Below are 12,789 nucleotides of genomic sequence, written 5' to 3' on the forward strand. Positions count from 1 at the left end.
CAAAATAAAACTAATTCTACCATAGACTAGACTAATTGATTTAAGAGTTAATTTTCTTGGCAAATGTCTGATCACAAAAACACCAAATTTCTAAATAAGGACTCCAAACACTTCTAACACTAAATATTGAAAAAAATATGAGCTGCACCTCAAGTTAAGATCAGCAAAAACGACATGATTGATTTATTTTTGGTGAATCAGTGACTGCAATTCTAGTGGTGGCAGGTTATATCAAGGAATAAATGTTTGTGAAATAGCAGTTGTAAGGAGCAACTCCTACTAACACACAATTCGTAAAACATTGTGTCCGGAATTGGCGGGTTCTTGATCTCACTGATTTCAAGAAAGCCACAAGTCCTCCGGATGAGTGTTACAATCGTTAGATGCGGTGTAGCCAGAGTTCATTCCCTCTGACGTTCGGATGTGTTATAGAGTTTCTTCCTTCTGGTGGTTTGGTCTTCTACTGGCTCAGGAGTGAAACTGCAAACCTTGGCAGTCAGTGTTACATCTTCTAAGGCGGCGCCTCCGGAGTTGTTTGTTCTTGCCCGAGAATTCATGTTTTTCCTAACTTCAAAAGATAAGCTGCAGACCATCAACAAATTACAGCTCATAAACGTAGTGTAAACCCAAAGAACAATCAAGATCCATCGCAGAGAGCGAAAAATCACTTCCGCACCGTGGGAAAAAGCCCGAACACGTTGTCGCAGTTGGTTCCGGCAGCCTGCTTTTATTATCTTGTCTGGCCCCACCCACATCCTGCTGATTGGTCCATTTTACAGAGAACTGACTGGTCTGTTTTACAGAGAGCTGATTGGTCCATCTTCACAGAGTGCTCATTGGCGCGTTTACAATCCCTGAGCTAGACACAAAAGTTCTCCAAGTCCCCACCAGAGTAGCTAGATACAGAGTGTCCATTAGTGAATTCACAAACCCTGAGCTAGACACAGGGTGCTGATTGGTGTGTTTACAAACCTTGAGCTAGATACAGAGTGCCGATTGGTGTATTTACAATCCCTTCGCTAGACATAAAGGTTCTCCAAGTCCCCACCAGAGTAGCTAAATACAGAGTGTCCATTGGTGCATTCACAAACCCTGAGCTAGACACAGGGTGCCGATTGGTGTGTTTACAAACCTTGAGCTAGATACAGAGTGCCGATTGGTGTATTTATAATCCCTTAGGTAGACGTAAACGTTCTCCAAGTCCCTACCAGACTCAGGAGCCCAGCTGGCTTCACCCAGTGGATTTTCCACCGGTGCCGCAGGTGGAGCTGCCTGCCAGTCCCGTGCTTTGCGCCCGCACTTCTCAGCCGTTGGGTGGCCGATGGGATTGGGCGCCGTGGAGCAGGGGGCGGCGCTCGTCGGGGAGGCTCGGGCCGCGCAGGAGCCCATGGCGGGGAGGGGCGTCTCAGGCATGGCGGGCTGTAGGTCCCGAGCCTTACCCCGCGGGGAGACAGCTAAGGCCCGGCGAGAAGTCGAGAACAGCAGCTGCTGGCACAGGTGCTAAGCCTCTTACTGCTCGGGGCTTGCGGATTAGGGGGCCGCTCCGAGTGCGGAGCCCGCCGAGCCCACGCCCACCCGGAACTCGCGCTGGGCCCGCAAGCGCCGCGCGCAGCCTCGGTTCCCGCCTGCGCTTCTCCCTCCACACATCCCTGCAAGCTGAGGGAGCCGGCTCCGGCCTTGGCCAGCCCAGCAAGGGGCTCCCACAGTGCAGCGGCGGGCTGAAGTTCTCCTCAAGCGCGGCCAGAGTGGGCGCCAAGGCCGAGGAGGCGCCTAGAGCAAGCGAAGGCTGTGAGGGCTGCCAGCAAGCTGTCACCTCTCAGTATGGCGGCTGGCTGTTTTAGCACCATGTCGTTTATTGTCATGCATTTGTAGGATTATGAAATGCTTCCTGAATTTTGCTTTTACAGTAACTTGTATTCATTCATGCATTTTTCAACCTGCTCACTCCAGTTCAAGGTCTTTGGTGGCTGAAGCCTAATTCAACTCCTCATAGTGTCAGGAGGGAACCCACCGTGGACAGGTGGCCATTCCATCACAGGGCGGGCTCATACACACACACACACACTCACACATATGCTCGCGTGCTCTTTCACTCAGACTGATGACGCTAGACTCAGACTAGATATGCTAATGAACCTAATGTGCACATTTTTGGGATGTGGGAGGAAACTCAGACAGTGGCTTCCAGGAGAAATAGACTTTTTTCTCATCAACATTATAACAAAATGATGTTGAATGAAACAACGTTATTCAAGGGTCTGCTGTACGCAGATTTTCCTATTTCTTTAGGTCTTCATTTTTGAAGGCTCTTGTGTCAATAAAATTTGTTTGATTTGTATGCTTTTCCTTTTTTTTTTTTTTTTTTTTTGTTGTTGAGACAGAATTTCACTTTTGTTGCCCAGGCTAGAGTGTAATGGCGCGATCTTGGCTCACCACAACCTCCGCCTCCCGGGTTCAAGCGATTCTTCTGCTTCAGCCTCCCGAGTAGCTGGGATTACAGGCGTGTGCCACTATGCCCAGCTAATTTCGTATTTTTAGTGGAAATGGGGGTTTCTCCATGTTGGCCAGGCTGGTCTCAAACTCCTGACCTCAGGTGATCCACCAGCTTCAGCCCCCCAAAGTGCTGGGATTACAGGCATGAGCCACCCCACCCGGCCTGCTTTTCCCTTGTTAATCTATCTTTTATTATGAAGTGTCAGCCATGAACCTGGCACTGGGTGGGAAAAGATGTTTTTCTGCCCTAGACCTTCCTATAAGTGCTTTTGGGACAACACTGCAGGAGTCCCCAAAGGTGAAAATTTACCTGCGGGAGTTAATAAAAACAGGAATCCCCAGGCCTTACCCCAGAGACTGAGATGCTGAGTGCTTTCAGAGTCTCCAGAAAAGGGCCCAGGAATTATTATGGGGTGACAGATGTCACAGCTAGATCGTCCTCACATCTATGGAATATTGTGTTATTTAATATTTCCCAGTTGAATTTGATATTCAGGCAAGTTTGAAAACCACTGGGCCTGAAAATCTAGCCACAACAGAAACTGAAACTAGGATCTGGGGAAAGTTAACAAGGGGAGGAGAAAGATTGGAAAGTATTACAAGAAAAACTTGGGATTGTAACGTTCCCCCCAAACTGGGAAGGTCCCGGAAGACCAAAGACAGTCCAGCTTAATAAGCAGGTGAGTTTAGTAGGACTTAGATACAGGGTACTCCTGGGTGCAGCAGGATAGCTCTAGAGATCCATGCCGCCTCCTGTCTTTAAACTGTTTCTAAGTTAATTTTCTGGCTTTTTGCCTACTGTGTTTGAGCAATGAGACTGTTTTTCTTGGTAGGTTCTCAGATACTCTCTGGGATGTTTGTGTTCTCAAGGACACCTGCTCCTCTGCTGGGCATCGTGGCCTTGGCTCACCACTGGGCCTTCAGGGTTCAGGCAGTAGACATACACTCTTAAGTGACATGGTGGGTGATCTGTCATGCTGCAATCCACCCTGCCTCCCATTTCTTACATTCTTTCTGCCAATCTTGTGTGAGACTCCTTGAGTAGGGTGGAAGGAAAGAACTATACAGGTCTATAACGTCTAGCCATGGCTTGCGCATACAGGTCACATCTACAGTATACGTAGGAGCACAAAAAGCAGAAGTTAACTACAATTATAATGTCTATTAGCAAAACCTAATTCCCATGACTAGAGAAGCTGTGTAACCAATTTGAGAATGAGTAAAAGAAACCTAATTAGGTTATATCATGGATCTGAGTTGACAAATGGTTTAAAGTACCTCTGACATTACTCTCTTCATCAGGGAAATAGGTGCAACAGTTAGCACCTAGAAAGGCACATTTTGGGTCTTTGTCACGTTGGTGATTGAGCCTCTAGGTGGAGGCAATCCTTAGTGAGCCCGGGTTGCATTATCAGTGCTATTGTACAAGTCACTCCAGTTCTGTCAGGAGAAAGGCAGAGTATTTTAAGGCATATCATTATTATTTTATAGGGAGAGGTATCTGACTGGTTGTTGACTGCTTCTGGAGTTGCAGCTCAGTCTAGAAAGACATTACCAGCTGCCATGAGTAGCAGGAACAACCTATGGGTATAAACACAGGTGGTTAGTAGGAACTCTCACAGGCGTATTCACTCCTTGCAACATTTTTTTTTTTAATTTTTTTGAGACAGAGTCTTGCTCTGTTGCCCAGGCTGGAGTGCAGTGGCACGATCTCGGCTCACTGCAAGTTCCGCCTCCTGGGTTCACGCCATTCTCCTGCCTCAGCTTCCTGAGTAGCTGGGACTACAGGCGCCCGCCACCACATCTGGCTAATTTTTTGTATTTTTAGTGGAGACGGGGTTTCACCGTGTTAGCCAGGATGGTCTCGATCTCCTGGCCTCATACTCCACCCGCCTTGGCCTCCCAAAGTGTTGGGATTACAGGCGTGAGCCACCGCGCCTGGCCACACCTTGCAACATTATTATCATTGTGTTTTCTCCCACTGGCACTATTAGGGATGCCACTGTGGGCTTCAGGCCTGGATTACAAAACCACCCATGTCTTCTTTTCCTAGAAGCAGCCACAATAGCCAATTGATAAGTTTCCAGCCTTGCCCATGCTATCCATACTATAATTATTCCAGCAGGTATGGGTGCTGCCATCTGTTGATAAAGTAAGTCTCTCGGAACTCTATCAAGGAGCACAGCTGGGACCACTGCCCCTATGGCAGTTATCATGGCACCACCCTCCAGTACTATAAAACTAATCCAGTATGGAGGCATATTCCAGCTCAGCTTCAGGTCCCTGTAGCCATCACTGCTTGGCAGATCCACTGGTGTTCTCAGGAGCATGTCTCACCATCTGCCTCAGGAGCATGGCTCAGTGTCTTTGAGGTAACCCCGAGAGTTTGTGGGACATGTCTTACAGGCCTTGCCAACCATTTATAAGGAGTGATGCCATGTGTGCTAGTGGGTGACTCATTTAAAGTTTGTATGGCTTTATGGAGATTCTTAGTCCAGGAACTTAAAGAGCCAACCTGAAACAGTGCACACATCTGGGTCTTTAACAGGCCATTATTTCTTTCTGTAAGTCCTGCCTCTGTTGGATTGTGGTGGTAAGTGGAACCTCCAGTCTATATTTTCTTCTTTTTTATTTTGAGACAGAGTCTCGCTCTGTTGCCCAGGCTGGAATGCAATGGTGCGATCTCGGCTCACTGCAACCTCCGCCTCCCGGATTAAAGCAATTCTCCCACCTCAGTCTCCCAAGTAGCTGGGACTACACGCATGCGCCACCACGCCTGGCTAATTTTTGTATTTTTAGTAGAGATGGGGTTTCACCATGTTGGCCAGACTGCTCTCAAACTCCTGACCTCAAGTGATCTGCCTGTCTCAGCCTCCCAAAGTGCTGGGATTACAGGCATGACCCACCGCACCTGGTCCAGTCTATATTTTCTTCTGATGCCCAGTGTTGGATATCTTTGCTATGCCCATCAATGTACCAGGGCCTAGCAGATATTGGCGGGGTACCCTTATATATGGTGGTTGGCCTGATGGGTGGCTCCACTGCCATGTTGGCTCCCTCCCATAACTGAGACCAAAACCCTATAGGTACCATTCCCATTAGTTGCTTTTGCCCCAAACCTAAATTCATCCCTGTGACATCTCTGGTGATTACTAATACAGCAGTAGAGTCTGTATGCTTGGGCTTGTTTCACCAATATTTTTGTTTTGTCAAATGCCTCTTGTTCTATTTATGTCATCTCATTTTTTACCTGTCTTTATTAGGGTGTATAATGGGTGGAGTATTTGTGCCAGATGAGGAATGAATATCCTCCAGTAGCCCAGTAAACCTAGGAAAACCTGGAGTTGCTCTACTGTCTGGAGAGTAGACTACTATGCTATCTTATCAATGACGGCTTTGGGTATGTTTCACATCTTACCCAACCAGGTAACTCTCAGGAATTTGACAGGCATGCCAAGCCTCTGTATATTTTTGGGGTTGATTTTCTATCCCTCCTTCAGGCTGTCCAAAACAGTTTGTAGGATAGTCTCCAAATCTGTAAGAGACTCTAGGGTAGCATGTTATCATTAATATAGTGAAACAGGGAGACCAAGGCAGGCAAAGAGATTATAGACAGCTCCTGTGTAACCATACTGTGAGAGATGGCGGGGCTTTGCAGATGCCCCTGTGGTGACACCTGGAAAGTCCATTCTTGGTCCTCCTAAGTGTAGACCAACTGGTCTTGTGAATCTTCAGCTGAAAGAATACTGGAAAAGGTATTAATGCAGTCAGTCACAGAATGGATACTTCCCAGCTTCGGTACTGCTTGCTCTAGCAGTTGAGCAATATTGGATACAGCTGCATGTACAGGGCGTACCACTTTGTTCAGCTAGCGGTAATCCACCATCATCTTCCAGGCATCACCTGGCTTCTTCACAGGCCAAACAAGGCTGCTGTAGGGGCTCTGGGCCAGTCTGACTATTTGTACCTTATGTACTTTCTGGATTGTTTGGGTGATTTCAGAGTGCCCCCCCAATAGCAGGAAGTATTGTTTCATGTTCATTACCTGCAAGGATACAGGTGCATATTTGGCCTATCCCCTTTTTGCTTTCTCTGTGGACCTGATCGTTATTTTTATCCAGCTCACTGAGGTCTGCCAATGCTTCCCCCCATCACAGATTTCATTTCCCACTAAGAGGCTCAGAAGTGTTGTCTGAAATTGGTGGGTTCTATGGTCTCACTGACTTCAACAATGAAACCGCAAACCCTCACAGAGAGTGTCACAGCTCTAAAGTTCGCGGGCGTGGAGTCTGTCCCTTCTGATGTTCAGATGTGTCCGCAGTTTCTTTTTTCTGGTGGGGTCGTGGTCTTGCTAGCTCAGGAGTGAAGCTGCAAACCTTTGCAGTGAGTGTTATACCTCATAAAAACAGCGTGGACCCAAAGAATGACCAGTTGGAAAATTTATTGCGCATAGTGAAAAAAACAACGCTTTCACAGTGCAGAAGAGACAACCCAGCGGGTTGCTAATGCTGGTTCGGGCAGCCTGCTTTTATTCTTTTATCTGGCCCCACCCACATCCTGCTGATTGGTAGAGCCGAGTGGCCTGTTTTGTCAGGGCGCTGACTGGTGCGTTTACAATCCCTGGGCTAGATACAAAGGTTCTCCTCGTCCCCATTAGATTAGTTAGATACAGAGTTTCCACATACAGGTTCTCCAAGGCCCCACCAGAGCAGCTAGATACAGAGTGTCGATTGGTGCACTCACAAACCTTGAGCTAAACACAGGGTGCTGATTGGTGTGTTTACAATCCCTGAGCTAGATAAAAAGACTCTCCACGTCCCCACCAGACTCAGGAGCCCAGCTGGCTTCACCTAGTGGATTCCGCACTGGGGCTGCAGGTGGAGCTGCCTGCCAGTCCTGCGCCCTGCACTCGCATTCCTCAGCCCTTAGGTGGTCGATGGGACTGGGTGCCGTGGAGCAGGGGGTGGCGCTCGTCCGGGAGGCTCGGGCCGCACAGGAGCCCACGGAGGGGGGTGGGAGGCTCAGGCATGGCGGGCTGCAGGTCCCGAGCCCTGCCCCGTGGGAAGGCAGCCAAGGCCCGGCGAGAAATCGAGCACAGCGCGGGTGGGCCGGCACTGCTGGGGGACCCAGTACACCCTTCGCAGCCACTGGCCCGGGTGCTAAGTCCCCCATTGCCCGGGGCCAGCAGGGCTGGCTGGCTGCTCCGAGTGCGGGGCCCACCAAGCCCACGCCCACCCGGAACTCCAGCTGGCCCGCAAGTGCGGCACACAGCCCTGGTTCCCGCTCGTGTCTCTCCCTCCACACCTCCCTGCAAGCTGAAGGAGTGGGCTCCGGCCTTGGCCAGCCCAGAAAGGGGCTCCCACAGTGCAGTGGGGGACTGAAGGGCTCCTCAAATGCCACCAAAGTGGGAGCCCAGGCAGCGGAGGTGCTGAGAGCAAGCGAGGGCTCTGAGGACTGCCAGCACGCTGTCACCTCAGTGTGACCAATGCCCTATATTATAAATGCCATTTTTTGAATTGGAAATGATCCAGACATTCAACAAGTACTTAAAACAATTTTAAGGTTTTAAACTACACAAAAAGTTCACCCGTAAGCATTTATCTCTTACATTTACTCAATTTATTCATTTTTAGCAGTTTACCTAGATTACTCATTGGAACGAAGACATTAGACAAAGTTACTCATCATTCTGAATTATTTTTTCTGTTAAACTGTGAATGTCAGGTGTTCACCTAGGCAAGAACTTTAAAGTTAAACACATGGGCATTTTTGCCAATAACTCAGGAATTTTAGCTGTTTTCACTGACCTAACAATATTAAATTAGTCATACTTACCAAAAAATCACACAAATAAAGATCATTCTGTTTTTGGCTGGGTTTACAGACTTATGATCTTTAGGTCAAACCCTGACACCTTAAAATATCTAGCAGAGGCAAATGTAAAACTAATTGGTAAACTGAGACAAAAACGTATGCTGACAATTCAAGGACATTTCTATTTTTATTTTACCAATAATTTTAAAGCCAGATTATTTATTAAAGATTACTAAATTCATATGAACTTGAAAAGCATTTGGACTTTATGAGTACTCATTTATGTATAAGCCATTTGGTAGTATGCTAGGCATAACACATAATATATATACATACACATAAACACATTTAAGCATGTATCTATACACACAAACCAATATCCAACAGCTTTTACTTGGAACTCTAGCCATGAGACAACATCATAAATTTACTATTTTACAAAAGATAGTTGGATCAGGCCGGGTGCAGTGGCTCAAACCTGTAATCCCAGCACTTTGGGAGGCCGAGGCAGGAGGATCACCTGAGTTCAGGAGTTGGAGACCAGGCTGGCTAACATGGTGAAACCCCGTTTCTACTAAAAATACAAAAAAGTAGCTGGGAGTGGTGGCGCACCCCTGTAATCCCAGCTTCTCAAGAGGCTCAGGCAGGAGAATCACTTGAACTTGGGAGATGGAGGTTGCACTGAGCCGAGATCTCACCGTTGCACTCCAGCTTGGGCAACAAGAGTGAAACTCCATCTCAAAAAAAAAAAAAAGGAAAAAAAAAAAAGAAAAGCTAGATCCAAATTATTTTTCACAAAATTGAGACCTGTCCACAAGACTAGACTTTGTTTGCACTGATAGGTAATCCAATAAAGACTGTGGAACACAATTTTGGGTAAAGCAGTTTCTATACCAGTTTGATTTTTAAAATCCTCATTTATCCACATCCCCTTTTTTCTGTGCTTCAAATGAGTTTCATTGTTTACATTTTAGTAAGAACTGGCTGTACTGTAGAGAAAAGTAAAATCTCCGAGTGGCTTTGAATTAGTGAGTTTTATTTCAACACCAATAGCTTAATAATGGCATATTTGAGTGTTGGGGTGATCAGACCCAACACCAGGTCGTGGGGGCGACAAAGTCCTGCAGAGTCACAGAAATGAGAAAAAGACAGTTTGAGAGAGAAAGTGGGACTAAGTGGCCATCACGAGTGTGGAGGCTGCGAAGGCCCTGAGCTCTGGGAGCCCACGCTATTTATTGGTGCTCAAACAAACAGGTAGTGAAGATGTGGGGGTTGAAAGGAAATGGTGTATCAAGTGAAAGAGAAACATATGGCTACTTTAGATAATGGGAGTGCTAAAAGCAAGGAGCCAGCAAGTCTAGCAGACATACAAGTCCTGTTGTCTCCCAACACTCAGCTTCTCTCCCAACATTCGAGGCTGGGCGCAGTGGCTCACACCTGTAATCTCAGCACTTTGGGAGGCCGAGGTGGGTGGATCACAAGGTCAGGAGTTCGAGACCAGCCTGGCCAATATGGTGAAACCCCATCTCTACTAAAAATACCTGGGCGTGGTGGTGGGTTCCTGTAATCCCAGCTACTCGGGAGGCTGAGGCAGGAAAAGAGCTTGAACCCGGGAGGCGGAGGCTGTAGTGAGCTGCACTCCAGCCTGGGTGACAGAGTGAGAATCTGTCTCTAAATAAATAAATAGCATATTCAAAATAAGCAGAAACAAAAATAAAGAGAGAAATAGCTTTAGGAGACTCTACTTAACTCTATAGTTGCAGCTTAACCATTTAAAATCCGCATTTTTTTTGTTGTAATTTCCCCATCAGTTAAAAAATGTGCACAAGAAAGGGCCATACATAATAGGTAACCAGCTGGAGTCCTAAAAAAGCTGGCATGCTTTGAACTTCTGCAGGTGTTTCTATCCTTTCTCTGTTTCCTGCTCTAATGATTTCTCAGGGGCCAGCCTTATTGCAACAATAGCACATTTGCTATCCTTATCCTACTTTGATATCTTAGCCTCTTGCAATATGCGCTTAGTCCCCGCCACATTTTCTGAATATCCCTATACTTCCTCAGCAGTCCACAAAGGTTGAGCGATGGAGCAATTCCACCCCACCTGCATGTTGCCGACCACCCCAGGATTCCCCCTGCAGATGCCCTTTCCTGACTCATTGTTTGGTCTCTCAGATCCTGTTTGTGATGCCAATTGTTATGAGCAAAACTTGGGACTGTAACGTCCCCCTAAATTGGGAAGCAGCCAACAGACCAAAGAATGACTTGGACACGTACAGCTTGACAAGTAAGATGAATTTATTAGGACTTACACACAGGGTACTCCTGGATGTAGCAGGACAGCTCCAGAGATCCATGCAGCCTCCTGTCTCTAAATGGCTTTTTTTTTTTTTTTTTTTTACCAAGTCTCGCTCTGTCTCCTAGGCTCGAGTATAGTGCTGCCATCTCGGCTCACTGCAGCCTCCGCCTCCTGGGTTCAAGTGATTCTCCTGCCTCAGCCTCCCGGGTAGCTGGGATTACAGGCACCCGCCACCCCATCCTGCTAATATTTGTATTTTTAGAAGAGACTGGGTTTCACTATGTTGGCCAGGCTGGTCTCGAACTCCTGGGCTCAAGCAATCCACCCACCTCGGCCTCCCAGAGTGTGGGATTACAGGCATGTGCCACCGCACCCAGCCTCTAAACTGCTTTTAAGCTTATTTTCTGGCTATTTGTCTACTGTGTTTGAGTGATGAGACTGTTTTTCTTAGTAGGTTCCTAGATACTCTCCCGGATGTTTGGGTTCTTAGGGACACCTACTCTTTGGCTGGGCACCATGGCCTTGGCTCACCACCTGGCTTTCAGGATTCAGGCAGTGGACATACATCCTTACCTAATCTGGTGGGGGATTCATCACACTACGGAAGGGAAAAGAGGAAACCCATGAGGTGAGAGGCAGCGTGCTGGGTAGTGGAGCCTCAAGGATGCTCAGGATTTGGATGCTCAGATCTGGATGTGTCCCAGGTCCCCAATGCATCTGTGCTTCCTCCAGGTACTAGAGAAGAATGAATGCCCCTTACTCTAAAGTGAGGCAACAGAAGGTGTCAATCCTTCGAGTTCAGTTGTTCACAAAGCATAGGTCCATCAGAATCATCTGGATGACTTGTTGAAACATATTGGAACATCCTTTGGGAATTTCTGATTTAGTGGACCTGGGGTAGGGCCCAAGAATTTGCAGTTCTAACAGGTTTCCAGATTATACTGATGGTGATCCATGGACCAAATTCCAGAACCTCTTACAAGAGACCCAGCTTGTCTTGTCTGAGACTTTTGTGACTCACTGAGTCTCTGAATGGGCTCAGCATTTTCTCAGGTGCATCTCTTAAACTGTATGTTTGAAGTTCGTTAGTCACATACAGCTGCTCTTTGAAACTGTCATAAGGAAGCCAACCCATCTGGTTGTCAGAGAGCAGTGTTAAATGCTCACACAAGAGGCAAGGCTGCATAGGGTTGGGCAGCTCCAGTTGCAGAAGGAAACACCAATTTAGCATGTTTGCTTTCTTGCTTTTTTTGCCTGCTTATTTTTAGCATATCTAGTTGAGAATCCAAAACAACAACAAAAAAAGACAAGACAGACCACAGACAAATGTGTACACTTTACAAGATTCTCAAGACAACAACAGCAACAAAGTTTCTGAGTTTATGAATCTAAGTAGCATTTTACTCCCAGGATCTGAAGTTCAAGTTCTGATCCCTGTGCACCCAAATTACGTCTTTCTCCTCCAGGTAGAAAGCTATCAAAATCCAGCTTTTTCCTGGGCACGCTCTTTATAGCATATGCAGCTGACTCTTCTGCTACTGGCACACTGCTATTGGATAAAAAGAAGTCTTGGCTGGGCACAGTGGCTCACACCTGTAATCCCAGCATTTTGGGAGACCAAGGCAGGTGGATCTCCTGAGGTCAGGAGTTGGAGACCAGCCTGGCCAACATGGTGAAACCCTGTCTCTACTAAAAATACAAAAATTAGCCTCGTGTGGTGTGGCAGGCGCCTGTAATCCCAGCTGCTAGGGAGGCTGAGGCAGGAGAATCGCTTGAACCTGGGAGATGGAGGTTGCTGTGAGCCGAGATTGCACCATTGCACTCCAGCCTCAGCGATAAGAGCTAGACTCCAAAGAGCGAAACTCCGTCTTTAAAAAAAAAAAAAAAAAAAAAAAAAGTCTCAAGCGCAGAACCGTGAAAAAGCTAAAGTTGTTATACAATTGGAGAGCGAATGATTCAACATTTTGTTAATCATTGACCTTATTCTCTGTCCTACTCTAAGGAGGGCATAATGTGTGTCTCCTGCAATCGGTCATAGGAATAATGCTTAAGGTCTAAACTAGCAGAGACTTGAGTGACAAAAAACAAAGAAGGAACCTATTTGAACTGGAGAAAGAAGGTGGATGCTGCAGGATTGAGAGACTTTATGGATTTTAAAAGAAACAAAGATGGAGAGTGTCCTCAGG

General features: G+C 46.9%; 3 annotated features.

Annotated features, from left to right (window-relative positions):
• Window positions 684-1,356: an enhancer, noted in NCBI's record as "NANOG-H3K27ac hESC enhancer chr6:28833646-28834318 (GRCh37/hg19 assembly coordinates)". NCBI's record gives its function as "activates a minimal SCP1, AML or CMV promoter by ChIP-STARR-seq in naive H9 embryonic stem cells {active_cell/tissue: H9 hESC(naive)}" and the evidence as "EXISTENCE:reporter gene assay evidence [ECO:0000049][PMID:30033119]".
• Window positions 7,183-7,706: an enhancer, noted in NCBI's record as "H3K27ac-H3K4me1 hESC enhancer chr6:28840145-28840668 (GRCh37/hg19 assembly coordinates)". NCBI's record gives its function as "activates a minimal SCP1, AML or CMV promoter by ChIP-STARR-seq in naive H9 embryonic stem cells {active_cell/tissue: H9 hESC(naive)}" and the evidence as "EXISTENCE:reporter gene assay evidence [ECO:0000049][PMID:30033119]".
• Window positions 7,707-8,228: an enhancer, noted in NCBI's record as "H3K27ac-H3K4me1 hESC enhancer chr6:28840669-28841190 (GRCh37/hg19 assembly coordinates)". NCBI's record gives its function as "activates a minimal SCP1, AML or CMV promoter by ChIP-STARR-seq in naive H9 embryonic stem cells {active_cell/tissue: H9 hESC(naive)}" and the evidence as "EXISTENCE:reporter gene assay evidence [ECO:0000049][PMID:30033119]".

The sequence above is a fragment of the Homo sapiens genome, chromosome 6 (genome assembly GCF_000001405.40).
Source record: "Homo sapiens chromosome 6, GRCh38.p14 Primary Assembly".
NCBI lineage: Eukaryota > Metazoa > Chordata > Mammalia > Primates > Hominidae > Homo > Homo sapiens.